Below are 24,868 nucleotides of genomic sequence, written 5' to 3' on the forward strand. Positions count from 1 at the left end.
GCATGTGCCACCACCCCGGCTAATTTTGTATTTTTAGTAGAGAGCGGGGTTTCTCCATGTTGGTCAGGCTGGTCTTGAACTCCCGACCTCATGTAATCCGCCCTCCTCGGCCTCCCAAAGTGCTGGGATCACAGACGTGAGCCACTGTGCCTGGCTTTTTTTTTTTTTGAGAGGGAGCCTGAGCCTGTACTGTTGCCCAGGCTGGAGTGCAGTGGCTCACTGCGACGTCCACCTCCCGGGTTCAAGCGATTCTCCTGCCTCAGCCTCCTGAGTAGCTGGGACTATAGGTGTGTGCCACCACGCCTAGTTTATTTTTTGTATGGACACACTCTTCTGATAATTCTGCTTACTATGCCAAGGGCCCAGCTTCTACTGTAGGATGACAGTGGTACATGTACTCATGACCTAGAGGCACTGAGCAATTCCCCAAACGCATTCTGAATTGTGGAGGGTGATGGGGTGGATACTTCTTGATTGGCCCTGTGGTGTGGTGCTGTGGTGGGTAGCCAGATGGCACATGAGAATAAGTGACTTCAGGTATCATGACTGTGTCATCTATGTAGGGGTCCTTGGTACCAACTTCCCAGTGAATTGGGTGGGTTACTTTATTTCACAGATTATAAAACTGGGGTTTGAGAGAAATATTGGGCTTTTTTTTTTTTTTTTTATAACAGGGTCTTGTGCTGTCACTGGGCCTAGAGTGCAGTGGCATGACGATAGCTTTACTGCAGCCTCAACTTCCGAGGCTTAGGTGATCATTCCCCATCAGCCTCCGAGGAGGTGGGACTACAGGCGAGTAGCTAGGACTACAGGGGCAGGCCGACACATTCAGCTAATTTTAAGAAATATTTTAATAGAGAAGAGGTTTTGCTGTGTTGCCCAGGCTGGCGTTGAACTCCTGAGCCCAAGCTCAAGCCTTGGCCTCCTAAAGTGGTGGTATTAACAGGCATGAGCCACTGCGCCCGGCAGTGGTTTTTTTTTTTTTTTTTTTTTTTTTTACGCTTTCCTGTAAATCTGATGTTTTCTGGAATTTAGGGTAAGTTCCTTATCAGACAGAGCAAAAGCACAGTACTGGGACCTTGTGTTCTGTCATGTGTTCTGCTGCCGCCGCCAGTGTGGACAGCCTGAGTCTGGCCCCCTTTCCTTTGGATGTGCTGTCCCTGCTGCCTGGATCCTTCCCGCTCTCTACTTCACCTAGGTGTGGTGTCCCTCCCTGGGCTTACTTACTGCATTGTTTTATGGTGTCTTTTTTTTCTTTTTTTTTTGAGACGGAGTCTCGCTCTGTCACCTAGGCTGGAGTGCAGTGGTGCTATCTCCGCTCACTGCAAGCTCTGCCTCCCAGGTTCACACCATTCTCCTGCCTCAGCCTCCGGAGTAGCTGGGACTACAGGTGCTCACCACCATGCCCGGCTAATTTTTTGTGTTTTTAGTAGAGACGGGGTTTCATCATGTTAGCCAGGATGGTCTCGAGCTCCTGACCTCGTGATCTGCCCACGTCGGCCTCCCAAAGTGCTGGGATTACAGACCTGAGCCACCGCGCCTGGCCTTTTTTTTTTTTTTTTTTTTTTAGATTCAAGAAGTACATGTGCTTGTTTGTTGCATGGGTTTATTACTTACTGGTGGGGATTGGGCTTCTGGTGTATCCATTACCGAAAGAGTGAACGTTGTACCTGATAGGTGATTTTTCAACCCTTGCTCCTTCCCATCCTCCCGTCTTTTTGGGGTCTCCCATGTCTTGTCTTGTCTTGTCTTGTCTTTTTTCTTTTCTATTTTGAGATGGAGTCTCCCCCTTGTCGCCCAGGCTGGAGTACAGTGGCACGATCTCAACCTCACTGCAACCCCCGCCTCCCGGGTTCAAGTGATTATCCTGCCCAGCCTCCTGAGTAGCTGGGATTACATGCGCCCACCACCACGACCGGCTAATTTTTTTTTGTATTTTTAGTAGAGACTGGTTACACCATGTTGGTCAGGCTGGTCTCGAACTCCTGGCCTCAAGTGATCAACCCGCTTCAGCCTCCCAAAGTGCTGGGATTACAAGCGTGAGCCACCGCGCCTGGCCTAATTTTTTTATTTTTAGTAGAGATGGGGTTTCACCATGTTGGCCAGGCTGGTCTTGAACTCCTGACCTCGGGTGGTCCACCTGCCTCAGCCTCCCGAAGTGCTGGGATTACAGGCTTGAGCCACTGCACCTGGCCCTAGATTTCTCTAACATAGGCTGTGGAGGTGGAATTTTTATTTATTTTTTCTTTAAATCAATACTCTCCACTGAATGTAGGATTTTAGTTTTTAATTTTTTACTGCACCCCAGGGGTTGGGGCAGATACCAAAGTGACCCCCCTTCCTGCATTGTGAGGTTTAATTAATGCAATTAACATTTACGAAGTGCTCTGAAACAGCTCTGCTGCTGGTATCAGCCTGGAGGAAGTGAGTGACATCAGTTCTCAGCATTACTGCTGGGTTGGGGCGAGTCCCTGAGCCTCCTCTGAGTCTAATTGGGGGTTGCCACCTACCCCTCTGTCTGCCACATTGCATTTGAGTACATCTGACCTGGTTCAGTCGGGGCACAGGCACCCTGCTGCACTAATGAGGAAGGCCCCTCGGGGAGAAGCTTGTGGGTGGGCCCACCCAGCACTGCTGCCCACTCTGAATCACACGCTGGACCCCAGCCTCTGGGAAAGGGTCAGAGTTCACCTCTCATCACAAGGTTAGGCAGCCACCTCCTGTGAAGGGAAACGCTCAGCTGGTATATCATGTCCCAGCCACGAAGCTCCCTTCATCCCTGGGATGGGTGATGCATTCATTGTTCATAACTTCTGTAATTCTTGTCTGTCTTGTCTCAGTTACGGCAATTCCAGGCACGTGCCCTGGATTGCCTGGGCATGAGATTTGGCACTGCCACTTCTCTGGGTGACTTAACTCATCTGAGTCTGTTGAAGGCAGGGGGATAATAAGACCTGCCCCAGGATGGGGTGGGGGTTAAAGGAGGTGGCAGACAGGCTGGGTGCAGTGGCTCACGCCTGTAATCCCAGGCCAAGGCGAGTAGATCACCTGAGGTCAGGAGTTTGAGACCAGCCTGGCCAACATGGTGAAACCACGTCTCTTCTAAAAATACAAAAATTAGCCAGGCATGGTGGTGCAAGTCTGTAATCCCAGCTACTCGGGAGGCTGAGGCAGGAGAATCGCTTGAACCCGGGAGGTGGAGGTTGCAGTGAGCCGAGATCGCGCCACTGCACTCCAGCCCAGGTGACAGAGACTTGATCTTAAAAAAAGAAAAAAAAAAAAAAATCCATGGTGGTAGACAGTGTTCAGCCTACAGTAAGTAGGGCCCTGGGAACTGTTAGCTACTTAATGTTACAGTGGCAGTGTGGGATGATGCAGTTCTAAATCCAGCATGTCTGCCACTCTGGATAGGTCATATTAGATAAAGCAGTTGGCTTGTGATGGGGGCCATGTTATCTGGAAATGCCAGCCTTGAATCATGAAGTCAGTGAGATACATAGAAAAGAGGTGGGGGAGATTTGTATCCACTGGTACACACCTGATGCTAATTTAATTTCTCTTGTCCTGATTCTAAGAACATGTAGTTAAATTTGTATGTTATTTACTTTCCCTATATATTGATCAAGGAGGTAGTATGTCAGTCTCTGTCTTGGTTTCTCCATCTGCAAAACAGGAATAACAGTACTTACCACATTTAAAGGTTAAATGAGTTAAGATAAGTAAAGCCAAAACAGTGCCTGACACATAGTAACACTGAAAAAAAGATGACCTTATTGGGGGGATTTTTATATATTTATATATGTGGGAAGAAAGGCCTAGGAGAGAAGCTTTTATTCCTGGATTTTGAGCTGTGGGTTTTGAGGTCTGAGAAAGGAAGCAGGAGGTGTAGGGAGTTGGGGAGGGCTTCCAGGCTGAGAGAACACAGCAGCACATGCCTCGAGGCTAGATTGTCTTGGCCTGCGTGTAGACTGAAGCGGGGTGGGGGAGGAACTGAGCTGGGCATCTTTAGTCATGGGTGCAGGTTCTGAAGTTGGTGTGCGCTGTCTACACAGCTGTGGCTATAAGGCAATGAGGGTAGTTAATTTCACTACAAACGTAGGGTCGTGATAAAAACAGAAGGAATTTTAAATGAAATCACATTGAATTATGCAACGAGAAGAAAGCATATATAAGTGCTCAGCTTGCTCCTGGGGGACACCCAGGTAGCTAGTGCCATTTATTGTGGGTTTTCTTCCTGGACTGTCTCTCCAGTACCCACAGGTCTTGTTCTAGGGGCTTGAGGCTTTTCCTGAATGTTGAGATATGGGTTTTGGAAGGTGTGCTGCCCACACGTTGGGTAGGCTGGTGGCCAGTTGGCACTGCTGAGGCCCTGGGGGAAGGCCCAGGGTGGTTAATCATTGTCAGCCTGGGTCTGTCTAGGAGGTGAGACTCCTGTCTGGCTTCTTGTTGACCCAGTTAGGGCCTGTCTGAGGAATGGGGTTCAATGTTGCCTGCGAAACCCAGCACACATTAGAACCCCAGGCCCTGGATGAAGGCGAAGGAGGTCACATCCTTCACTCCAGGCCTCTGGTCTGCTACCAGCTCCTGGCCACAAACAAACCCTGTGTGTCCTCCCCCCAGAGCACTTTGGGGAGGTGGACCCTCCTGGAGACACCAGGTACACCAGGTAGCCCCACCTCCCACTCTATGCCAGGCCCACTAGGTTACTTAGTTCACTGATTTGGCCTGAGGTGAAACGCTTGAAATTAATGATTATTCTGAACCGACACCGCAGCAGCTTTCCTGGGATTCTGACTGCTTTGTCTCATAGGAACTGGCCATAGGTCAGCCAGCCTGTTCTTCCGGGTCAGGGCTTGGGAGAAAAAGGGCTGAGAAGCAGCTGATTGGTCTGATTCAGGCACGTCCCTTGTCCTTGGTAGGGGAAATTCCTTAACAGGTGCTGATACACACTCTGGATCATGTGAAGCACAGAAAGCCTATGTGTTATGTATCAGCGCACATGTTTATAATCTGAACAATGCTGCTTTAACATGCATATTAATCACCTAGGCATGACTTGTGTGTGTTAAAATGTCTTGTGAAAATCCCGCTTCAGGCCGGGTGTGGTGGCTCACGCCTGTAATCCCAGCACTTTGGTAGGCTGAGGTGGGCAGATCACGAGGACAAGACATCGAGACCATCCTGGCCAACATGGTGAAACCTGTCTCTACTAAAAATACAAAAATCAGCTGGGCGTGGTGGCGCATGCCTGTAATCCCAGCTACTCAGGAGGCTGAGGCAGGAGAATCGCTTGAACCTGGGAGGCAGAGGTTGCGGTGAGCTGAGATCGTGCCATTGCATTCCAGCCTGGCGGAGGTCGCACCACTGCACTGCAGCCTGGCGACAGAGGGAGACTCTGTCTCAAAAAAAAAAAAAATGAAAACCCTGCTTCAGGACATCTAGCTTAGTGGTGGAGATTTCTCCAGCCAGCTCCCACTTCCAACAGTTCTTCCAAGCAGCTCTCAGTTCATGGTACTGTAGCCTGCGTGGCTCCTGGGCCACACAGGGAGTAGCAGCAGAGGTCCAGTTGCCCCATGCCATGGGCAGGTGCAGGGTCTGGAATTGGGAGCTCTCACCACAGATTGCACCTCTGCCTGGGGGCGCCACTGGGCTCATCAGACTGAGCTCACGGTGCCCCCTGGTGGGCGATGCCAGTGGCGCCAGTGCAGCTTGGAGCCCGCAATACAAGGTGTGGCTTCTAGAAGGTACCCTGGTTTGAGATGCTGAGGTGGGAGGATCCCTTGAGGCCAGGAGTTTGAGGCCAGCCTGGGCAACATAGCCAGACTCTGTTTCTACAAAAAATTAGCCACACCTGGTGGCACACACCTGTGGGCCCAGCTGGAGGATCACTGAAGCCCTGGGAGTTGAAGCCTACAGGGAGCCGTGATCACGCCACTGCACTCCAGCCTGGGTGACCAAGTGAGACCCTGTCTCTAAGATAGATGGATGGATGGATGGATGGATGGATGGATGGATGGACAGATAGAAGATAAACTGCGAGGCTAGCACGGGTTGTCTGGCAGGGGCTGGTATGTCTCCACGATGGAGCCCGAGGCAGGGAGGCCCGGTGCATATGGCAGCAGCTTATTGGGGAAGCTTTTCCCAGGCACGGTTCCAGGACACAAGGGTGTGGTGTGAGTGACCTGGAGCTGTTTGTGGTTCAGGGATGGGGGCCTGGAGGTCTCATTATGCCTAGGCTTTTATAATATTTTTGCCAACCAAAGGTGGAACAAAAAGCAAAGGCAAGTGACTTGGAAAACTCGGTTTCAGCGGGGATTTATGCCCTGAAGTTTTTTACTCGTTCTCTATCTAATCCTGGCCCTACCTCTTAGATGGGCTATATGACCTTGGAGAATAACCTAGTCTGGATGTCAGTTTTCTTTTTCTAGAAGGTGAGCTCCCCAGTCTCCCTAGGGGGAGATACAGGTTGTTGCATCCAACAAAATCTGTGTGCCCATAATGTTGCAGGCAATGGGCCAGCCCAGAGGTTATAGCCTGCCAACCCATCCGTATGGCCCTGGCCCTGTGTGTTAGCTGATTTACCTGACCAGGAGGGGCAGCAGTGGGGAGGCCAAGTCCCAGAGGTGAGGGTGAGGCTACAATGGATCTGGGGAGTCCCCCTCCTGGTAACTGCCCCCAGGCTTTCTGCCTGTGCCTCCATCCTTCCCTCCTTGGGAACTTGGGACTCTGAGCCCCAGCTGGTGAGGGAGGAGGGGAGTGAGCGACAGGCCAGCAGACCAATGGGCCCTGGAGGATGGGGTGAGGCGGGGCTTGTGCTGCCATGGAGAGGAGAGAAGCGGTTCTGTGGGGGAGGAGGGGGTGGGTGGGAAGAGGACCTGGAGATTGAGGGGAAGGGAGAGAGCAAACAAAGGGGTCAGGAGGGAAAATAATGCACTGGCTTCCTGAGCCCCTGCAGAGGCTGAGCAGGGAGAGGGGGCCAGGGCCAGAGGGGACAGAGGCTGGCGGCAGACGGGCCGGGACAGGCAGGTCCTAAATGGCATTGTTTGAAGGGGCCGGCTAATTGCACAGAGCAGTCTGAGCCTGAGACCCCAGCCCTGGCCTCCCCACTCTGTCCTGGGTGCTGGCGTCTGAGCCTTCGGGACAGCCTGTCCACATGGAACCAAGTCCTGAGCCTCCAAGCTTGGTGAGGGGGAGGCTATGGGGGGCAGCCTGGGTGGGGTACTTGGGCAAGAGCATCACCCTAAGAATGCATCCTGGGGCCTTGGCCTGAGAACACAGAGCCCATGGCGGGGGAACACTGTCCCTCTCATGTCCCTGCTTCCCTTTCACCCCACCCATTCTGGCTTCTCCCACAGGAAAGCATGAAGGGAGACACCAGGCATCTCAATGGAGAGGAGGACGCCGGCGGGAGGGAAGACTCGATCCTCGTCAACGGGGCCTGCAGCGACCAGTCCTCCGACTCGCCCCCAATCCTGGAGGCTATCCGCACCCCGGAGATCAGAGGTGGCTGGGCAGTGGGGACTGGGGTGGTGTCAGGCGCTGACATAGTGAGCGGTCACTGCAGACAACTGGAGGCTTTGGGGAGAGTCTCTGACAACCTCCACCACAATTCCCCGGGAGGGAAGAGAGCTCTAGCAAGGAGGGATGCAGGGTCGAGCCCTTCACACCTGCCCGCAGCCCTTGGCCTCCCCTTTGGGACTCTCATCTCAGCTGGGACTCTGAGCGTGACACAAGGGTGATGGTTCCCTGTCCTCTGCCAGTCATGACAGGGGTGGTCTCAGCATGGGCCCTTGGAGAGCCCTTCTGCAGTGGGACCCTCTCCCCACTCAGAGCTGGGCTGGGGTTGGGAGGGGGAGGTCTGGAGTGTGCTTCCTTTCCACCCTGCCCTGAGCAGCTCCAGCCAGCTCACTTGGGATCCCGCCCCAGCTGGGTTGGAAAGCCCTGCATTGTCCTCTCAGCTGTGCCATCCCATGGAACTTCCTGCGAGCGTGAAAGGGTTCTATTTCTGCATTGTTCCCCACAATAGCCACACTCTACATGGGAGCACTTGAGAAGCGGCTGACACAGCAGGCAGTGAATTGTTCCTGGAAATGTAGTTAGTGGTCCCTGGATGGGCAGCACCCTGCTGGAAGGAATCGGAGGGCTCCCCTTGGTAACTTCAGTGTTGGTTTGGGTCCTGTCACGTGCCTGGCCCAGGGCTCTGTTGTCTTAGGAATAAAATCAGTGGAGAAGATGAACGATACTGACGGACTGAGAGCAAATCCCTGTGGCTGACAATAGTGTAGGGGAGATCCCAGGCCACGCCACGGAGAAAAGCCCCTATTAGCAAGGCCGTTCCCCAGACTGGTGCCTGCCCCCACAAAACAGACTCCTGGCTGTTTCCTCTACAGGCCGAAGATCAAGCTCGCGACTCTCCAAGAGGGAGGTGTCCAGTCTGCTAAGCTACACACAGGTATGGTCTCTGCTCTCCCTTTTTCAGGGCTCAGGGACTTTGTCTTTGGCTTTCATCACGTGGGCTGCCTGAGGCCCATAAAAACTGGCATCTGCAAATGTATGGAGGGTTGCCGAGCTAGATGCTTTCTGCATATATTTGGCATTATTTTTTCAATCTGGACGATCAGTTACATTGCTAAATCTCTAATATGGTAGTCCCCTCTTATCTGTCATTTTGCTTTCCACGATTTCAGTTGCTTGCAGTCAACTGCCGTCTGAAAGTATTAAATGGAAAATATTAAATGGTAAATCCCAGAAATAAACAATTTATACATTTTAAATTGAGTGCCATTCTGGTAGCATGATGGAATCTTGCACTGTCCTGCTCCGTCCTGCCCAGGATCAGTCCTGTCTTTGTCCAACATCTCTATGCTTAGGTGCTACCTGCCTGTTAGTCACTTGTAGCCGTCTCCGTGATCAGATCAGTTGCAGTATCACAGTGGTTGTGTTCAAGTAGTGCTTGTTTTACTTAATAACGGCTCCAAAGTGCAGGAGTGATGACGCTGGCAATTCAGTTATGCCAAAGAGAAGCCATGAAGTGTTTCCTTTAAGTGAAAAAGTGAAAGTTCTCAAAAAGGAAAGAAGAAATCATATGCTGAAGTTGTTAGATCTGTGGTAAGAACAAATCTTCCAGCCGTGAAATCATGAAGAAGGAAAAATAAATGCATGCTAGTTTTACTGTTGCACCTCAAACTGCAAAAGTTATGGCCATGTTGTGTGATAAGTGTGTAGTTAAGATGGGAAAGGCATTAAATTTGTAGGTGGAAGACATGAACAGAAATATGTTCTGATTGACAGCAGTGCTTTGTGCCAGGGAGCATTGAGCCTATAGCAAGGGATCCCCTGACACCAAACCATTTACTTCAAGTAAGGGATGGTTACATAGATTCAAGAATAGGTTTCTACTGAAAACTATAAAAATGACTGGAGAGGCTGCATTTGCCAATGAAAAACCTGCTGCTACATTTTCAGAAGAGTTGAAGTTGATTGAGAAAGGAAACAATCCAAAACTAAGACTGCAGTGAAACCAGACTCCTCCAGAAGATGATGTCTAATAGAACCTACCTTCATAAAAGTGCAAAGGAGGAAGACACTAGGTCATAAACCATGGAAGGACAGATTAACCCTGAATAGAGTACAAGAAGATATTTTGAGAGAGAAACCACATTCATATGGCTTTTATTAACAGTATATTGTAATTGCTCTATTTTATTATTAGTTGTTAATCTGTGCCTAATTTATAAATTAAACTTTATCATAGGTATGTAGATATAGACAAAAACAGAGCACATATAGGGTTCCATCTTCCAAGGTGTCAGGCAGCCATGGGGGGTCTTGCATGTATCCCCCCTGGATAAGGGGAGACTACTGTATAGCAAACTGTCTTTTTATTCCTGGAATGAGTCCAACTTGGTTATGGTGCATTTTGAAGTTGATTTTATTCATGTATTCATGAATGAAATGGGTATTTTTTTTTATTCATTTATTTTTGAGATGAAGTCTGTTGCCCAGGCTGGAGTGCAATGGCATGATCTCTGCTCACTGCAACTTACTGCCTCCCAGGCCCAAGCGATTCCCCTGCCTCAGGCTCCCGAGTAGCTGGGACTACAGGCAATGGACCACCATACCCAGCCAATTTTTTTGTATTTTTAGTAGAGATGGGGTTTCACCATGTTGGCCAGGCTGGTCTCGAACTCCTGGCCTCAAGTGAGCCACCTGTCCCGGCCTCCCAAAGTGCTGGGATTACAAGTGTGAGCCACCATACCTGGCCCATTTTATTTCTTTAAATATATCTATGGTTTTGATGTTAGGATTAGGTGGGCTCAAGGAATTTTTTTTACAAGCTGGAAGAAACTTGTCTAAGCTTATTTTAATGAATTTCAAACAATTATATCTTCTAAGACTTGCTACATTATCAAGCTTTCTACTTCATTTACTTTTCCAAGGTTGGATCTTTCCCATCTTGTTTTGTGTTCCTTCCTTTACTGACACCGTCTGTTTCCTAATTATTCTTAGTAGAGTTTGTCAATTGGGTTGGTTTTGCTCAGAGCCAGTATCAGTCATAAAAGTCCTGGGCAATGAAAACTCACCCTCAGCTTCCATTCTCTTGGTGGTGGCCAACCTACTTAGGGGACTCAGAAGGTGGGGAACCTAAGCCCTGGGAGGAATTAGGGCAGCTGCAGGATCAGAGGCTCAGCACTGCTGTTTTGTTTCTGGTAGCTAGTTACCAGAAACAGTAATGAAATCTCTTGCCCACACGTTTCTTTTTGTTTGTTTGTTTTGTTTTGAGACAGAGTCTCCAGTCTGTCGCCCAGGCTGGAGTGCAATGGCACGATCTCGGCTCACTGCAACCTCCGCCTCCCAGGTTCAAGTAATTTTCCTGCCTCAGCCTCCCAAGTAGCTGGGCTTACAGGCGTGCACCACCATGCCCAGCTAACTTTTGTATTTGTATTTGTATTTTTTTTTTTTTTTGAGATGGAGTCTTACTCTTGTTCCCCAAGCTAGAGTGCGGTGGCGCGATCTCGGCTCGCTGTAACCTCCACCTCCCAGGTTTAAGCGGTACTCCTGCCTCAGCCTCCTGAGTATGAGTAGCTGGAATTACAGGCACATGCCACCATGCCCTGCTAATTTTTGTATTTTTAGTAGAGACAGGGTTTCGCCATATTGGCCAGGCTGGTCTTGAACTCCTGACCTCAGGTGATCCACCCGCGTCGGCCTCCCAAAGTGTTGGGATTACACGCCTGGCCTAATTTTTGTATTCTTAGTAGAGATGGGGTTTCACCATCTTGGCCAGGCTGGTCTGGTGACCTCAGGTGACCTCAGTCTGCCCCAGACTCCCAAAGTGTTGGGATTACAGGTATGAGCCACCACACCCTGCATATTATTTGATTCTTGATGTAACCCTGTTGTGCTATGAGGGAAGTACTGTTATTCCAATTTTAAAATGAGGGAAATGGACTCAAAGCCACACAGTTGGTGAGTGAAGGCAAGTGCTTAACACTCCAGCCAGACCTAGCTGCTCGCTGCTTCAGCTTTTGTGTTTGGCTTATGCTGGGTTTTGGTGTGAGGTGTGAGGCCTGCACGAGGAAGCCCTGATGACATGGTGCAGGTTTCATGCCATTGCTTCCGGGGCATCTGTCGTGGTTGGTCTGTGTCTGCACCCATATGCAGTGTGTTGTGATGAGTGACCCGGTCTCCCTGCCAGGCACAGGCGATCAGTCTTTCATATTGCAGGTGCCTTGTTTCTTTGACTTGCTGATACCCTGGGGTCTTCATCATGTTCATCATGTTTCCTTATAAAGGACTTGACAGGCGATGGCGACGGGGAAGATGGGGATGGCTCTGACACCCCAGTCATGCCAAAGCTCTTCCGGGAAACCAGGACTCGTTCAGAAAGCCCAGCTGTAAGTAGCCACACCTCGAGCCAAAGCACTTGTGGCCAACACTCTACATAGCATACATAGCATGCTACATACATAGCATAGCTCCTTAGGGGAGCTTTTAAGAGAAAGTGATGAAAAAATGTTTTGAAACTAGAAAATATAAGCAAGGCTCTTGGACTATTGTTGGAGGGTTTTCTTTTTTCTTTTTTTTTTTCTGAGACGGAGTCTCACTGTGTTGCCCAGGCTGGCGTGCAATGGCGTGATCTTAGCTCACTGCAACAACCTCTGCCTCCTTGGTCCAAGTGATTCTCCTGCCACAGCCTCCCAAGTAGCTGGGACTACACGCACCTACCACCACACCCGGCCAGTTTTTGTATTTTCAGTAGAGATGAAGTTTTACCATGTTGGCCAGGCTGGTCTCGAACTCTTGACCTCAGGTGATCCACCCACCTTGGCCTCCTAAAGTGCTGGGATTTCAGGTGTGAGCCACTGCGCCCGGCTGGAAGGTTTTCTCTATGTGCCATTTCTTTCAGGTGGTTTTTAAGTTCTTTCTTGTAACACTCTTGGAGGTGCCTAGGGGTGATAGAGTTTGCAGGGTGGATGGCTCAGCTGCTAATGACCTAGGGAGTCCACCATTTCTGTGGGTGGATTTTGTGCCTCAGAGTTTTGAGGTATGGCAATGGGAAGGCAGTTATTGCTTATGGTCACCCAGCCCTTTAGAGACCAGACTGACAGTTACTATCCCAGGTGTGGGTTACAGTCTTCCCTTCCCAGGATATGGTCTGTATCATCCCCTTTGTGGAGATGAGAGAAGATTCCAGCAACTTAACTGAGGTTAAACATCAACTCTTCTATGCATAATTTGGACACAGGTTCTGCAACAACCAAATTCATGCCATTTTTGACAATGAACATGGAGCCTAAGGAATTCTATTCCATCTTGATGATCTGGTGCCTTCCTGAACCCAGTAATTGGCCTTATGCTTCTTTGACATAAAAGTTTATTTTAGAGTGAACACGAATTTTTCTTTCTTTCTTTCTTTCTTTTTTTTTCTTTTTTTTTGAGATGCAGTCTCACTGTGTTGCCCAGGCTGGAGTGCAGTGACGTGATCTCAGCACACTGCAACCTCTGCCTCCCTGGTCCAAGTGATTCTCCTGCCTCAGCCTCCTGAGTAGCTGTGACTACAGGCACCCACCACCATGCCTGGCTAATTTTTGCATTTTTAGTAGAGATGGGGTTTCACCATTTTATCCAGGATGATCCTGAATTTCTGATTGCAAGTGATCTGCCCGCCTTGGCCTCCCAAAGTGCTGGGATCACAGGCATGAGCGAGCCACTGCGCTTGGCCAGATTTTTATTTTTCAATCCCAATTGGCAGGTGCCATTTCAGCTGGCCATGTCTGTCTGCTGTGACAGGCAGAGCAGGACCTGCTGGGAATTGTCGGGCATCCTAGCTGGCCACCCTACCACCTCTATTCCAAGAACTGGGGAATTCTGGCTGGACTCAGTCCAGAGTCCCACCTCATCACCTGTTCACTTCCAGTTGTCCTGAAGCTGGCTACCAGGTCTCCTTGGCCACCTGAAGGCCTAATCCTTCTGGCCCCGCCAGACCCCAGGCCTCCAGTCACCTAAGGCCCAGTGAGTGTCCTCTCTTGCTTCTAGGTCCGAACTCGAAATAACAACAGTGTCTCCAGCCGGGAGAGGCACAGGCCTTCCCCACGTTCCACCCGAGGCCGGCAGGGCCGCAACCATGTGGACGAGTCCCCCGTGGAGTTCCCGGCTACCAGGGTTGGTTCCCCAGATGCCCAGACCCCTGCCCGCAGTCTCTAACTGGGAGATATGCCTCACTCACTGCACTACTGGTTGTGGCTGGTAGATAATCTGTGTCCTTTTTTCACACTGCTTTTCAGGTTCTTGCTTTTTCTTTTCTCTCCTGGGTAAGCTTCCCGTAAGCCTGTTGGCTTCTCTCCTGGTCTGATCTCAGATGACACTCTGTTGGGAATGGAAGCTTTCCCTGTTGACTTGGTTCTTGCTCTAACTTGGAAACAAGGTAGAAAACACTGACATCCAGAACTGTCTTCTCCCTCATGTCTTCTTCACCTGTCTTGAGGCAACCCTAGCGGGTATGGCAACATTTCACTCTCTGAGAGTCCCTCGTCATTACCCATCATTTGTGCCTTTGTCATCTTTCTGTCTCTGGGACAGTTACAATGACTTTCTCCCCCCTTAAGGGATACGTGTTCCTGGAAAAGTTTCTTCAGCGGTCTCTGTTCTCTTTAACTTCAGTCTTTCCTCTTTCTTTTTGCCTAGGAGCCATATGGGGGTGCCGTTGGTCTCTGGTCACCGACATCCTTTGCTCTGGCCCAAACTATGTGTCCTTCTGTCCACAGTCCCTGAGACGGCGGGCAACAGCATCGGCAGGAACGCCATGGCCGTCCCCTCCCAGCTCTTACCTTACCATCGACCTCACAGACGACACAGAGGACACACATGGGACGCCCCAGAGCAGCAGTACCCCCTACGCCCGCCTAGCCCAGGACAGCCAGCAGGGGGGCATGGAGTCCCCGCAGGTGGAGGCAGACAGTGGAGATGGAGACAGTTCAGAGTATCAGGTATGGCCGAGAGGGGCTCCTGCCCAGGGTGACTGAGGACCCTGAACACGGGGAAAAACCAGTTACCTGCTACTGTTGGTAACAGAGCGACAACAGTTGTTAGAAGTTTCGTAATTGTAATAATTGACATGTTTGAATTCTAAGTATCTTCCATATGCACCACGGACCTTTCTTTACCTTAATCCTCTCCCAGACATAAGTCAAATGCCAGTATTTACCACGTGAATACTGTGGTTTTTCCCAACATGACATTTATGTAAGGACTGCAACTGCGTACGTTATACATTTCATGTACGCCCGTGTGAAGAGACCACCAAACAGGCTTTGTGTGAGCAATAAAGCTGTTTATTTCACCTGAGTGCAGGTGGGCTGAGTCCAAAAGAGAGTCAGCGAAGGGAGATAGGGGTGGGGCCATTTTCTAAGATTTGGGTAGGTAAAGGAAAATTACAGTCAAAGGGGGTTTGTTCTCTGGCGGGCAGGAGTGGGGGTCTCAAGGTGCTCAGTGGGGGAGTTTTTTGAGCCACGAGGAGCCAGGAAAAGGGATTTCACAAGGTAATGTCATCACTTAAGGCAAGGACCGGCCATTTATACTTCTTTTATGGTGGAATGTCATCAGTTAAGGTGGGGCAGGGCATATTCACTTCTTTTGTGATTCTTCAGTTACTTCAGGCCATCTGGGCTTAAACGTGCAAGTCACAGGGGATGCGTGCAAGTCACAGGGGATGCGATGGCTTGGCTTGGGCTCAGAGGCCTGACAATACATATTGTGATTCTGTTCATCAGAGTGCACATACTGTATATATTGTACGTATGATACCTTTGTAGACTTGCTTTTTTCTTCTATTAAGAACTAGAGTTGCCTGAGGTTCATGTCTGGATAATAAATCCAGTGGTCTGGGTCATAGCTTAATTAACCGATTCAGGTTGTTTATGCTTATTCAAGCATTGCTGCACGAAGACTCCTTACACATGTATGTATTTATGTGTTGTTAGGATCCCTTTTTTCTATGTCCATTATTACATTTTACTTTGTATAGAAGGGATCTCACTATGGTGCCCAGGCTAGTCTCAAACTCCTGGCCTCAAGCGATCCTCCTATCTCAGCCTCCTGAGTAGCTAGGACTACAGGCGTGCACCACCAAGCCCAGCTACTTTATAAATTCTTTTGTGGAAATGGAGTCTTGCTGTGTTGCCCGGGCTGGTATCCAACTCCTGGCCTCAAGCGATCCCCCTGCCTCGGTCTCCCAAAGTACTGAGAATTACAGGCATGAACCACGGTGTCTGGCTACATCTTGCATTTTATGGCAAGCTTTTTGTTGCCCTCAGGGACAGTGGAGTGGACAGGACTTGGCCCAGGATGGCCTCTCCTCACTGGGATTTCTTCATGTGGGTTTTCTTCCAGGATGGGAAGGAGTTTGGAATAGGGGACCTCGTGTGGGGAAAGATCAAGGGCTTCTCCTGGTGGCCCGCCATGGTGGTGTCTTGGAAGGCCACCTCCAAGCGACAGGCTATGTCTGGCATGCGGTGGGTCCAGTGGTTTGGCGATGGCAAGTTCTCCGAGGTGAGTCCGGGGAAGGGCAAGGGGTTCTGCAGGCCTGAGGCTGTGCCTGCCTGCCTCCCTTTGAAGACAAAGGCCTGGGATTGTATTCTGCAGATGTGTGAGCCTATGCCTTCACACTGTCTGGGAGGAAGGACAAAACTTCCTGTGTTAACCAGCTACAGCAGATTCCACTCACACGGGGGACAAAAGTGCTAGAAAGTTCTGGATCCATGGGCAGTTGGATTTTATGTTATTTCTTAGATTTATCTTTTGGGGGCAGAATCATCAGTGTGGACTCTGAGGGGCCAGGAGTGGCCACGTGAGCAAGTACCCAAAAGTGTTCAGTGGAGAAGCCTGGAAGAGACCGGAAGCATGGCCGCGGCCTCTTGTCATTTAGCCCTGGGGAGAGAAAGGCATGGAGTTGGGTTTAGGGTCACCTGGTATCAGTTGTGAAAAGGGTTTTTAGTAGAATTGGGTATTTCAGAGTCTCTTGATGATTGATTCTAGCCTTTTAAAATCTTTCTTGGTAATGACATTTAGCTGGGGAAGAGCTGTGTTGGGCATAACTAGGCTGTTTTGATTCTTACACTCTTTCAACAAAGATTTTTTTGGGGGCGGTGAGAATGGAGTCTCACTCTGTTGCCCAGACTGGAGTGCAGTGGTGCGATCTTGGCTCACTGCAACCTCCGCCTCCCAGGTTCAAACAATTCTCCTGCCTCAGCCTCCTGAGTGGCTGGGGTTACAGGCACCTGCCACCGCACCCTGCTAATATTTGCATTTTTAGTACAGACTGGGTTTCACCATGTTGGCCAGGCTGGTCTCCAACTCCTGACCTCAGATGATCCACCCGCCTCGGCCTCCCAGTGCTGGGATTACAGGCGGGAGCCACCACGCCTGGCCTCAACAAAGATTTTAATCAGACAGACCTATCCTGTGATGGTCTCTTAGAAGTAAATGTTAGTCCTACCCTCAGAGCCCTGAGAGAGGCTAAGTTAGGTGCCTAAGGTCATTGGGCAAGTTGCAGCAGAAGCAAGCCAGGCAGGATTGAAGGAAGGACTGTACATTCCTGGGATTCAGCTCAAGCAGAGATTCTGTTTTTCCCAGGAATTGAGCTACCATGGGGCCATTTGCCATGAGCTAATTGAAGTTTCCCAAGGGCTACAATAATATATTGGGTGTGGAGTCTCCTTTGTAGGAGAGCCCCTGCATGCAGTTGCCTGCTGTGACCAGCAGAGGGAGGACAAGTCCTGGGCCCATGCTGGCAGTGAGGCAGCTGCTTCCAGGGATGGGAGAGCAGTAACTCAAGTGAAGGAAGATGGATTGTTTGCAATTGCTTTGCCCCATCGAGACATAAAATGCACTTTGCAAGATAGAGTCTGAGGCTAATACAATGCAGTGTGGGGCTGTCAGCATTAGGGGATGAGATGACAATATGGGACCTGGGTCTGGCCTGGGCAAGTGCCTGCTCAGCATGTGTACGCTGTTTGGGTTGTATTGGAGCTATTGGGCGCTGGAACCAGCACTTGTGTTGGAGCGGTTTCCCCCCACCAGAGCCACAGTGTTTTCTCCCCAGTGGTGGTCACACCCCCATATAGGAAATCAGGCATTCCGTGATAAAATGGAGGTTTGCATGAGTGTGAGCACTCTTTACGGAGACTAGAACATTCCCTGTGTCTTTCAGTTCCTTTTTTTTTTTAAGAGATGAGGTCCTCACTGTCACCCAGGCTGGAGTGCAGTGGCACTGTCTTGGCTCACTGCAGCCTCAATCACCTGGGCTCAAGCAATCCTTCTGCCTTAACAGAGCAGCTGAGACTGCAGGTGCACACCACTGTGTTTGGCTCTTAAAAGTTTTTGTAGAGATGGGGTCTTGCTGTGTTGTCCAGGCTAGTCGAACTCCTGGGCTCAAGCGATCCTCTCAACTCCCACTCCCAAAGTGCTGGGAATATAGGCCTGAGCCACTACGTCTGGCCTTTCAGTTCTGATTAGCATCCCTGAATGGCCATTTTCTCTCTCACTGGCAACTCAGTCAGTTCATGCTTGGTCCAGGGACTTGGTACATCAGGAGACTTGTGGAATATGGATTAAATCACAAGAACTAAAGTTAAATAATCACAACAAGTGAAAGGTGCTGTGTCGAGCACTGTTTTCTAAACACATTCATTAGGTGAACTCATTTTAATAAAAGGGTAAAGAGTAAACAATTATCATGCTTAGGAAAGAAGGAATATGTGCAAACCCTCAATGCTGGAGCAGCCACAGAGAATATTAGGACTGAGCCTCAGGGGTCCACACCAGGGACACCTGCTTGGAAAATGTATACAAACACAGGGTTCGCCTAATTGCCTTCATTCAGAGTATCCTCCTTTTCCACAGTGGAAGTGTCGTACCTAACAAGGTTCTGGATATCTGTGTGTTGAGACTCTGCCATTTCTATTTTTCTGCTTTTTTCTTTCCTTCCTTTCAAATAGATGTCTGTGGACTTTATCCCCAGGAATGGTCTCTTGGTTAAAGTGTGTGAAAATCTTCTGCATCTGATGGACAACATTGTGATAGACATGGCACCTGGGACACACCTGTAGGTGGATGTTGATGATGTCTTTCTCTTTTAGGTCTCTGCAGACAAACTGGTGGCACTGGGGCTGTTCAGCCAGCACTTTAATTTGGCCACCTTCAATAAGCTCGTCTCCTATCGAAAAGCCATGTACCATGCTCTGGAGGTAACATGGGATGAGGGAATGAGGGCTAAGCCCTGAGAGCAGGGATGAAGCAAGAGACCCACAGAAACCTAGCTCAGTGTTGCCAAGGGTGGTTTGGAGGGGACAGGGTGGCCAGGGAGGAGGTAAATGACAACATAACATGATGGCCACCGGATTGGGCCTCCCAACAAAGGGATTTGAGACATCCCAGCTGCCACTTATTGGGACCACTAACTGAATCAGAAGGAAAGAGCACGGGCAGTTAGGGGTGCAATATTCGTATCAGTGAATGTGCTTTTCCAGAGACCTCAGAGCCTTCTTATGAGGGTTGGAGTTCACAGCAAGACAGCAGTGGAGGCCAGCTGTCTTCTATCTGTGGGCCGTCTTATCCCCTATGAACCATTATACCCTGTTTCTCCCTTCACCTTGATTTTTTCCCCCCACCTTTGTTCAGCATTTAAGAGCCAACCTCTTCTCATTGCTAAAGGCTTCATTAGACACTGAAATCCTTGGTCCTTCATGTAGGACACAAGTTAATGTCCCCATCTTTAGGGAGATAAAACAAGAAATCTAGTGCCGCCTTATATAAGATACAGAGGAGATGAGATAGTGCTGGCTGGGGCTTCTATATCTTGGTGGTAGAGTTAATTCTGATATGTCTGCCTTTTGAGTGGGAGGTGACCACTGACATTCCCTAGGGGGAAGAGATCCTATTTGGTGCCTGCATGAAAAGATTTAACCACAACCCCCCTTCCGAGGCCTCTCCCTGCACAGGCCCCTCCTTCCTCTGTCACATACCACAGCCCAGGACAGCTGTCTGGCTATGAAAGGGCCCAGTGTGAAGGGGAATGTAGGCCCTGGCTGGGGGAATCCCTGGGTGTGGCCTGGCGAGCACCTCCTCCCCACCCCCCCATTCATCACAGACTCTGCCTTTGCAGAAAGCTAGGGTGCGAGCTGGCAAGACCTTCCCCAGCAGCCCTGGAGACTCATTGGAGGACCAGCTGAAGCCCATGTTGGAGTGGGCCCACGGGGGCTTCAAGCCCACTGGGATCGAGGGCCTCAAACCCAACAACACGCAACCAGGTGGGAATGAGTCCCCATGGCAGCACCCGCTGCCTCTGCTGGTGGGACCACTTCTTGGGAGAGTCAGCCACCCCTGCTGCCCCACACCCCACCCAGCTTTCTAGCAGCTGGTCTCAACTCTGAATGTTGGAAAAATAGGAGCAGGCATACGAAGGCTGTGCCAGCTCTATCTGGCTTCCCCGGCCACTTTCTTGCTGATGGTCACGTGCATATAATTTGTATTGAATCTGACATCTGTCTTGAAGTCAGGATGCAGTGTTGACTAGCACCTTTTTTATTAAAGGAAAAAATAGTTAAGCTATGCTCATTTGAGAAAATTGGAAAGTGTTAAAGAAGAATATGCCACCTGCTAACATTTTGACCAGTACCATATTTCTCCCATTATAAGATAACTCTGGTTTCTAGAAATCCAGGACTTGTCTTACAATCCATAGATTTAAAGGCCAGGCCTAGTGGCTCATGCCTGTAATCGCAGCACTCTGGGAGGCTGAGGCGAGTGGATCACTTGAGGCGATCACCTGGACAACATGGTGAAAAATAGAAAAATTAGCCTGGTGTGCTTGGCATGTGCCTGTGGTCCCAGCTACCCGGGAGGCTGAGGTGGGAGAATTGGCTTGAGCCCAGGAGGCAGAGGTTGCAGTGCGCCGAGATCGCACCACTGCATTCAAGCCTGGGTGACAGAGCAAGACCTTGTCTCAAAAAAGAAAACAGTCCATACATTTAATGTAATGTTTTTTCTGTTTTGTTTTGTTTTCCCCTCAAAAGTGGTTAATAAGTCGAAGGTGCGTCGTGCAGGCAGTAGGAAATTAGAATCAAGGAAATACGGTATTTCCTTCCTGTCTTTTGACTGTGCCCTGTTTTCTATGCACTTTCTTCTGATTTCTTTGCATATAAAATGGTCACTGGAAAAGAATCAAATTTCTTGAAAAGTCAATCTGAACTCCCTCCCCACTCTCCCCTCACATCCCACCCTCACAAATACCCTCCAGGTTAACGTTGGGTTGCACATCCTTCCAGATTTTTCTGAACACTAGTTGGATTCCTGCTTTCCCCTTTATTAATATTAATACTGTAAGCACTGTCTGATGTCATTTTGTCACTAAAGGGTCCTTAAGATTTTTAATGGCTGTACAATTTTCTTTCCTAGGGTCAGAGTCAAATTTAACCATGTCCATTAAGATTTTCTGTGTAGATGGAATAGAAATACAAATGGGTTTTACAAAATCCCATTTATAGAATGGGAGCCATATTATGTAAAATTAAAAAGTGCTGGGCTCAGTGGCTCACGCTTATAATCCCAGCATTTTGGGATGCAAATAACCATCTCTTGGATTTCCCAGCATTTTGGGACGCTGAGGTGGGCAGATTGCTTGAGCTCAGGAGTTCCAAGACCAGCCTGGGCAACAGGATGTAACCCTGTTTCTAAGAGAAATACAAAATTAGCTGGGTGAGGTGGTGTGTGCCTGTGGAGGCTGAGGTGGGAGGATCACCTGAGCCCAGGAAGTCAGGCTGCAGTTTGCTAAGATCATGCCACTGCACTCCAGCCTGGGTGACACACTGAGAACCTGTCTCAAAAAAAAAAAAAAAAAAAAAAACCAAAACAGAAACAAAAAAGAAAGAAAAAAACGAGGCCAGGTGCAGTGGCTCATGCCTGTAATCCCAGCACTTTGGGAGGCTGAGGCAGGCAGATCCCTTGTGGTCGGGAGTTCACCAGCCTGGCCAGCATGATGAAACCCCGTCTCTACTAAAATACAAAAATTAGCCAGGTGTGGTGCTGCATGCCTGTAACAGGCTGAGGCAGGAGAATTTCTTGAATCCAGGAGGCGGAGGTTGCAGTGAGCCAAGATCCACGTCATTGCCCTCCAGCCTGGGCAACAAGAAAGGAACAGGTGAAATTAATACAAATCATGATTTTTTTAGCGCTAAATTTCCAAGATGTTAGCATTTTAATATCCAGCTATTATAAAAACTGAGATAGTCTACATTTATAGTGCTGGTTTCAAAATTTCACTTATTTTATATATTTTACATATTACATATTTTACAGATCTCAATTTTGATGCTAAATTTGCAATGAAAATACTTGATCTGTATTAACTATATACAGATTCTTGACTAAATACAGATGTAGATGGTTAAACACAAATTAACTAAATTCATAAAACGTGCATTTGAGAAAGCAGACTCATATGTCTAGGCTAGTCTTAATGAGCCAGTTAGTTGACTTACTTGTCAGTGTTTTAATTAACCTTAAATGCAGAATTCATTTCCTCAACAGTTTCAAGTTCTCAGTAGCCACCCCCTATGCCTACTGCCCAGCATGTCAGATATCACAGACATGGGTATGCCAGGCTTTTAGCTTTGAATCGAGCTTTGCTCTCTGAGCTGAGTCATTTTTACATCCTAGTTGTAGCCATTTAAAACCTTGTAAACATGTGTTAAGGATCCTGGGTGCAAGGGGTTTTGAATGAGCTCCTGTTGTGAGTTGCCCATCAAGGGGCCATATACATTCAGTGTGGACCCCCTGTCATGCCCCAATTGCAGCTGGTACCCAGGCATAGCATGGTCTTGTCCTGGGCCCGCATTCTCTCTGGACCCTCCTACCAAGCCACGGCTGCAGTCTAATTACCTTTCACAGAGAACAAGACTCGAAGACGCACAGCTGACGACTCAGCCACCTCTGACTACTGCCCCGCACCCAAGCGCCTCAAGACAAATTGCTATAACAACGGCAAAGACCGAGGGGATGAAGATCAGAGCCGAGGTGATTGTTGGGTACCTGGGATCATGGGACAGATGGGAGGAGGACGCTGCAGATCAGGAATTGATCTGTACCCGGCTCCCTGACCTCATCTCATGCCTTCTTCTTTTCTCAATAGAACAAATGGCTTCAGATGTTGCCAACAACAAGAGCAGCCTGGAAGGTAACGTTCTCTCCCTCCCAGTCATCCCCCTCACACCCTGGCTAGGGCTCTAGGCCTGCCTTGTCCTGGCTCATCCACCCTGTCAGGGTTTAACCCAGAGCTCTGTTCCTTAACCTCAGGCCAAGGCCTATTTCTGGACCCTGCATCTTAGTTGCTAGTTTATGGAATGAGTTGCCAATTGTGCCCCTTAAGAGAAAGGTACAGGAAGGGTATGGTGAGGAACAAGGGAAGCTGGGCCATTTTGGCCGGGAGAGCCATAACCTAAAACCAAGATTACTGGTATCATGAACCTTCCCAAAGAAGAACTGCAACTAACAAGCTTTTAGTCACTTGCCTACTGTCAGGCTAAATACTCTGCTTGCCCTGGCTGGGGATTGCCACTGGATTGGATACTCTGATCAGAATATACCTCATGGAATACAGAATGTGTGAGGATGAAGTCTCCCTTGCTTCCTTAACCCCTAGTTACTCAATGTTGAATAGGAAAACACCACATCCCTGACCCAGAGAACCCGGGGAAGAGCTTCGGTTTAGAAATCCTATTCCCCAAGACTCACTCCCCCATCTGGCTAGGTAGGGATGCTTGTTTGTGGGTTTTATAAAGGTCCTATCTACCCAGCCAGGGATGCAACTCCATGCTGACCTGGTGATATGAAGGGAAGGCAGGGTTGCCTACTGGTTAAAGGACCTGGATTCTGAAATTACAGCCATTTGCTGTTTACAGGGTGTGGGCATGGGCAAGTCCTATCATGAGACAACAAGCCAATTGGAGTCACCACAAAATCCTTAGTGTCCCAGTATTTAAAGCTTCTCAAGGATTGTCACACCAGGGAGGTCCCCCTGCTCAGCGTTCTGCCTGACATCATCCTACTGGGGCAGCCCCTTGCCCATCTTGATGTTCCCCATCTGTGAAGTAGGGATGCCACCTGGAAGCATTGTTGAGTGGTAGAAGCTGTGAGGCATGGCCTGAGGTGCAAAGAGTCCTTGGCAAGCTGCTGGCCTGGAGGGAAATCTTAGGAACTGAGAGACCCCAGGCTTTAGCAGCTGGTGTCAGGGCCTCAACTGCCAAAAGCCACAACCCTGTTTTTCTTACAGATGGCTGTTTGTCTTGTGGCAGGAAAAACCCCGTGTCCTTCCACCCTCTCTTTGAGGGGGGGCTCTGTCAGACATGCCGGGTAAGTCCTCCTACTACTGCCCTGGACCTTCCTCCCCTTGCCTCCTCTAACTCCCCTCTCCTTCCCAACAGCACCTGTGTGGAGACTCAGTGAAGCCCACTCATCCCAGCTGCCTTGCACTCTGCCTCTGGGGCAGGATGGGGGACAGCTGTCACAGAGGCCAATGGCACGCAGGTCACAGCCAGTTGTCCTTTTAAAGGACACCAAGCCACCAGCAGTGTGTTCTGCAGCTGTATCCTAGGGCCTCCACCAGCAAGCCGGCAGGGCCTGCCCTTCTCTGGTCTCCGATTTCACTGGTGTTTCTCTCTGGCTGCCAGGATCGCTTCCTTGAGCTGTTTTACATGTATGATGACGATGGCTATCAGTCTTACTGCACTGTGTGCTGCGAGGGCCGAGAGCTGCTGCTTTGCAGCAACACGAGCTGCTGCCGGTGAGCACTGGGCCCTGTGGGGTGGATGTGGGTGGGCCCCCAAGGCTCCTACGTTCCTGCAGTCTGCAGACAGCTGTCTGTTGAATGGAATCCTAGGCATGGGAATAGGGAGCTAATTTGCCCTGGAAGCAGCACACAGGGTTTATATTTTGTGGTGGCTGTGGTTGTAGCATAATTGGAGTAGAACTCATGTATAGGGAACGGCTCTTTTTTTTGAGACAGGGTCTCCCTGTGTTGCCCAGGGTGTACAGTGACATGATCATAGGTCACTGCAGCCTCCAATTCCTGTGCTCAAGCAATCCTCCCACCTCAGCCTCCTGAACAGCTTGATTATAGGCACATGCCATCACACCCAGCTAGTTATTCTTTTTTTTTTTTGAGGTGGAGTCTTGCTCTGTCACCCAGGCTGGAATGCAGTGGCACAATCTTGGCTCACTGCAACCTCTGCCTCCAGGGTACAAGCAATTCTCGTGCCTCAGCCTCCCAAGTAGCTGGAATTATAAGTGCGGAGCACCACGCCCAGATAATTTT

At 49.5% G+C, this 24,868-nt stretch overlaps 1 protein-coding gene across 23 annotated transcripts in view, besides 15 other annotated features; it reads left to right on the forward strand.

The window, feature by feature from the left end:
- DNMT3B (DNA methyltransferase 3 beta) overlaps positions 1-24,868 on the forward strand; it is a 46,972-nt gene that overhangs the window by 10,578 nt on the left and 11,526 nt on the right. For 3 of the 23 annotated variants that reach the window (NM_006892.4, NM_001424351.1, NM_001424355.1), the window contains exons 2-14: positions 7,356-7,503; positions 8,391-8,452; positions 11,796-11,897; positions 13,540-13,665; positions 14,268-14,489; positions 15,892-16,050; positions 18,639-18,746; positions 19,664-19,808; positions 20,574-20,633; positions 22,447-22,572; positions 22,688-22,732; positions 23,828-23,907; positions 24,225-24,337. In NM_006892.4, coding sequence (NP_008823.1) covers positions 7,362-7,503; positions 8,391-8,452; positions 11,796-11,897; positions 13,540-13,665; positions 14,268-14,489; positions 15,892-16,050; positions 18,639-18,746; positions 19,664-19,808; positions 20,574-20,633; positions 22,447-22,572; positions 22,688-22,732; positions 23,828-23,907; positions 24,225-24,337 — 1,490 coding nt within the window. In that variant the 5' untranslated portion in view covers positions 7,356-7,361. Of the gene's footprint in view, positions 1-6,889; positions 7,184-7,355; positions 7,504-8,390; positions 8,453-11,795; positions 11,898-13,539; positions 13,666-14,267; positions 14,490-15,891; positions 16,051-18,638; positions 18,747-19,663; positions 19,809-20,573; positions 20,634-22,446; positions 22,573-22,687; positions 22,733-23,827; positions 23,908-24,224; positions 24,338-24,868 lie in introns of those variants that run through there. The other 20 variants (NM_175850.3, XM_047439949.1, NM_001424359.1 and 17 more) reach the window with 10 other exon arrangements.
- Positions 748-1,454: an enhancer, noted in NCBI's record as "H3K27ac hESC enhancer chr20:31361516-31362222 (GRCh37/hg19 assembly coordinates)". NCBI's record gives its function as "activates a minimal SCP1, AML or CMV promoter by ChIP-STARR-seq in primed H9 embryonic stem cells {active_cell/tissue: H9 hESC(primed)}" and the evidence as "EXISTENCE:reporter gene assay evidence [ECO:0000049][PMID:30033119]".
- Positions 2,160-2,865: an enhancer, noted in NCBI's record as "OCT4-H3K27ac-H3K4me1 hESC enhancer chr20:31362928-31363633 (GRCh37/hg19 assembly coordinates)". NCBI's record gives its function as "activates a minimal SCP1, AML or CMV promoter by ChIP-STARR-seq in primed H9 embryonic stem cells {active_cell/tissue: H9 hESC(primed)}" and the evidence as "EXISTENCE:reporter gene assay evidence [ECO:0000049][PMID:30033119]".
- Positions 4,513-5,061: an enhancer, noted in NCBI's record as "OCT4-H3K27ac-H3K4me1 hESC enhancer chr20:31365281-31365829 (GRCh37/hg19 assembly coordinates)". NCBI's record gives its function as "activates a minimal SCP1, AML or CMV promoter by ChIP-STARR-seq in primed H9 embryonic stem cells {active_cell/tissue: H9 hESC(primed)}" and the evidence as "EXISTENCE:reporter gene assay evidence [ECO:0000049][PMID:30033119]".
- Positions 5,097-5,598: an enhancer, noted in NCBI's record as "H3K4me1 hESC enhancer chr20:31365865-31366366 (GRCh37/hg19 assembly coordinates)". NCBI's record gives its function as "activates a minimal SCP1, AML or CMV promoter by ChIP-STARR-seq in primed H9 embryonic stem cells {active_cell/tissue: H9 hESC(primed)}" and the evidence as "EXISTENCE:reporter gene assay evidence [ECO:0000049][PMID:30033119]".
- Positions 5,464-5,593: an enhancer, noted in NCBI's record as "active region_17723". NCBI's record gives its function as "activates an Ori minimal core promoter by ATAC-STARR-seq in GM12878 lymphoblastoid cells {active_cell/tissue: GM12878}" and the evidence as "EXISTENCE:reporter gene assay evidence [ECO:0000049][PMID:35858748]".
- Positions 6,100-6,600: an enhancer, noted in NCBI's record as "H3K4me1 hESC enhancer chr20:31366868-31367368 (GRCh37/hg19 assembly coordinates)". NCBI's record gives its function as "activates a minimal SCP1, AML or CMV promoter by ChIP-STARR-seq in naive and primed H9 embryonic stem cells {active_cell/tissue: H9 hESC(naive and primed)}" and the evidence as "EXISTENCE:reporter gene assay evidence [ECO:0000049][PMID:30033119]".
- Positions 6,601-7,101: an enhancer, noted in NCBI's record as "H3K27ac-H3K4me1 hESC enhancer chr20:31367369-31367869 (GRCh37/hg19 assembly coordinates)". NCBI's record gives its function as "activates a minimal SCP1, AML or CMV promoter by ChIP-STARR-seq in naive and primed H9 embryonic stem cells {active_cell/tissue: H9 hESC(naive and primed)}" and the evidence as "EXISTENCE:reporter gene assay evidence [ECO:0000049][PMID:30033119]".
- Positions 7,102-7,603: an enhancer, noted in NCBI's record as "H3K27ac-H3K4me1 hESC enhancer chr20:31367870-31368371 (GRCh37/hg19 assembly coordinates)". NCBI's record gives its function as "activates a minimal SCP1, AML or CMV promoter by ChIP-STARR-seq in naive H9 embryonic stem cells {active_cell/tissue: H9 hESC(naive)}" and the evidence as "EXISTENCE:reporter gene assay evidence [ECO:0000049][PMID:30033119]".
- Positions 7,604-8,104: an enhancer, noted in NCBI's record as "OCT4-NANOG-H3K27ac-H3K4me1 hESC enhancer chr20:31368372-31368872 (GRCh37/hg19 assembly coordinates)". NCBI's record gives its function as "activates a minimal SCP1, AML or CMV promoter by ChIP-STARR-seq in naive and primed H9 embryonic stem cells {active_cell/tissue: H9 hESC(naive and primed)}" and the evidence as "EXISTENCE:reporter gene assay evidence [ECO:0000049][PMID:30033119]".
- Positions 8,105-9,105: an enhancer, noted in NCBI's record as "OCT4-NANOG-H3K27ac-H3K4me1 hESC enhancer chr20:31368873-31369873 (GRCh37/hg19 assembly coordinates)". NCBI's record gives its function as "activates a minimal SCP1, AML or CMV promoter by ChIP-STARR-seq in naive H9 embryonic stem cells {active_cell/tissue: H9 hESC(naive)}" and the evidence as "EXISTENCE:reporter gene assay evidence [ECO:0000049][PMID:30033119]".
- Positions 14,011-14,682: an enhancer, noted in NCBI's record as "H3K4me1 hESC enhancer chr20:31374779-31375450 (GRCh37/hg19 assembly coordinates)". NCBI's record gives its function as "activates a minimal SCP1, AML or CMV promoter by ChIP-STARR-seq in naive H9 embryonic stem cells {active_cell/tissue: H9 hESC(naive)}" and the evidence as "EXISTENCE:reporter gene assay evidence [ECO:0000049][PMID:30033119]".
- Positions 14,683-15,353: an enhancer, noted in NCBI's record as "NANOG-H3K4me1 hESC enhancer chr20:31375451-31376121 (GRCh37/hg19 assembly coordinates)". NCBI's record gives its function as "activates a minimal SCP1, AML or CMV promoter by ChIP-STARR-seq in naive H9 embryonic stem cells {active_cell/tissue: H9 hESC(naive)}" and the evidence as "EXISTENCE:reporter gene assay evidence [ECO:0000049][PMID:30033119]".
- Positions 16,343-17,274: an enhancer, noted in NCBI's record as "H3K27ac hESC enhancer chr20:31377111-31378042 (GRCh37/hg19 assembly coordinates)". NCBI's record gives its function as "activates a minimal SCP1, AML or CMV promoter by ChIP-STARR-seq in primed H9 embryonic stem cells {active_cell/tissue: H9 hESC(primed)}" and the evidence as "EXISTENCE:reporter gene assay evidence [ECO:0000049][PMID:30033119]".
- Positions 17,275-18,204: an enhancer, noted in NCBI's record as "OCT4-H3K27ac hESC enhancer chr20:31378043-31378972 (GRCh37/hg19 assembly coordinates)". NCBI's record gives its function as "activates a minimal SCP1, AML or CMV promoter by ChIP-STARR-seq in primed H9 embryonic stem cells {active_cell/tissue: H9 hESC(primed)}" and the evidence as "EXISTENCE:reporter gene assay evidence [ECO:0000049][PMID:30033119]".
- Positions 17,367-17,506: an enhancer, noted in NCBI's record as "active region_17724". NCBI's record gives its function as "activates an Ori minimal core promoter by ATAC-STARR-seq in GM12878 lymphoblastoid cells {active_cell/tissue: GM12878}" and the evidence as "EXISTENCE:reporter gene assay evidence [ECO:0000049][PMID:35858748]".

The sequence above is a fragment of the Homo sapiens genome, chromosome 20, assembly GCF_000001405.40.
Source record: "Homo sapiens chromosome 20, GRCh38.p14 Primary Assembly".
Taxonomy (NCBI): Eukaryota; Metazoa; Chordata; class Mammalia; order Primates; family Hominidae; genus Homo; species Homo sapiens.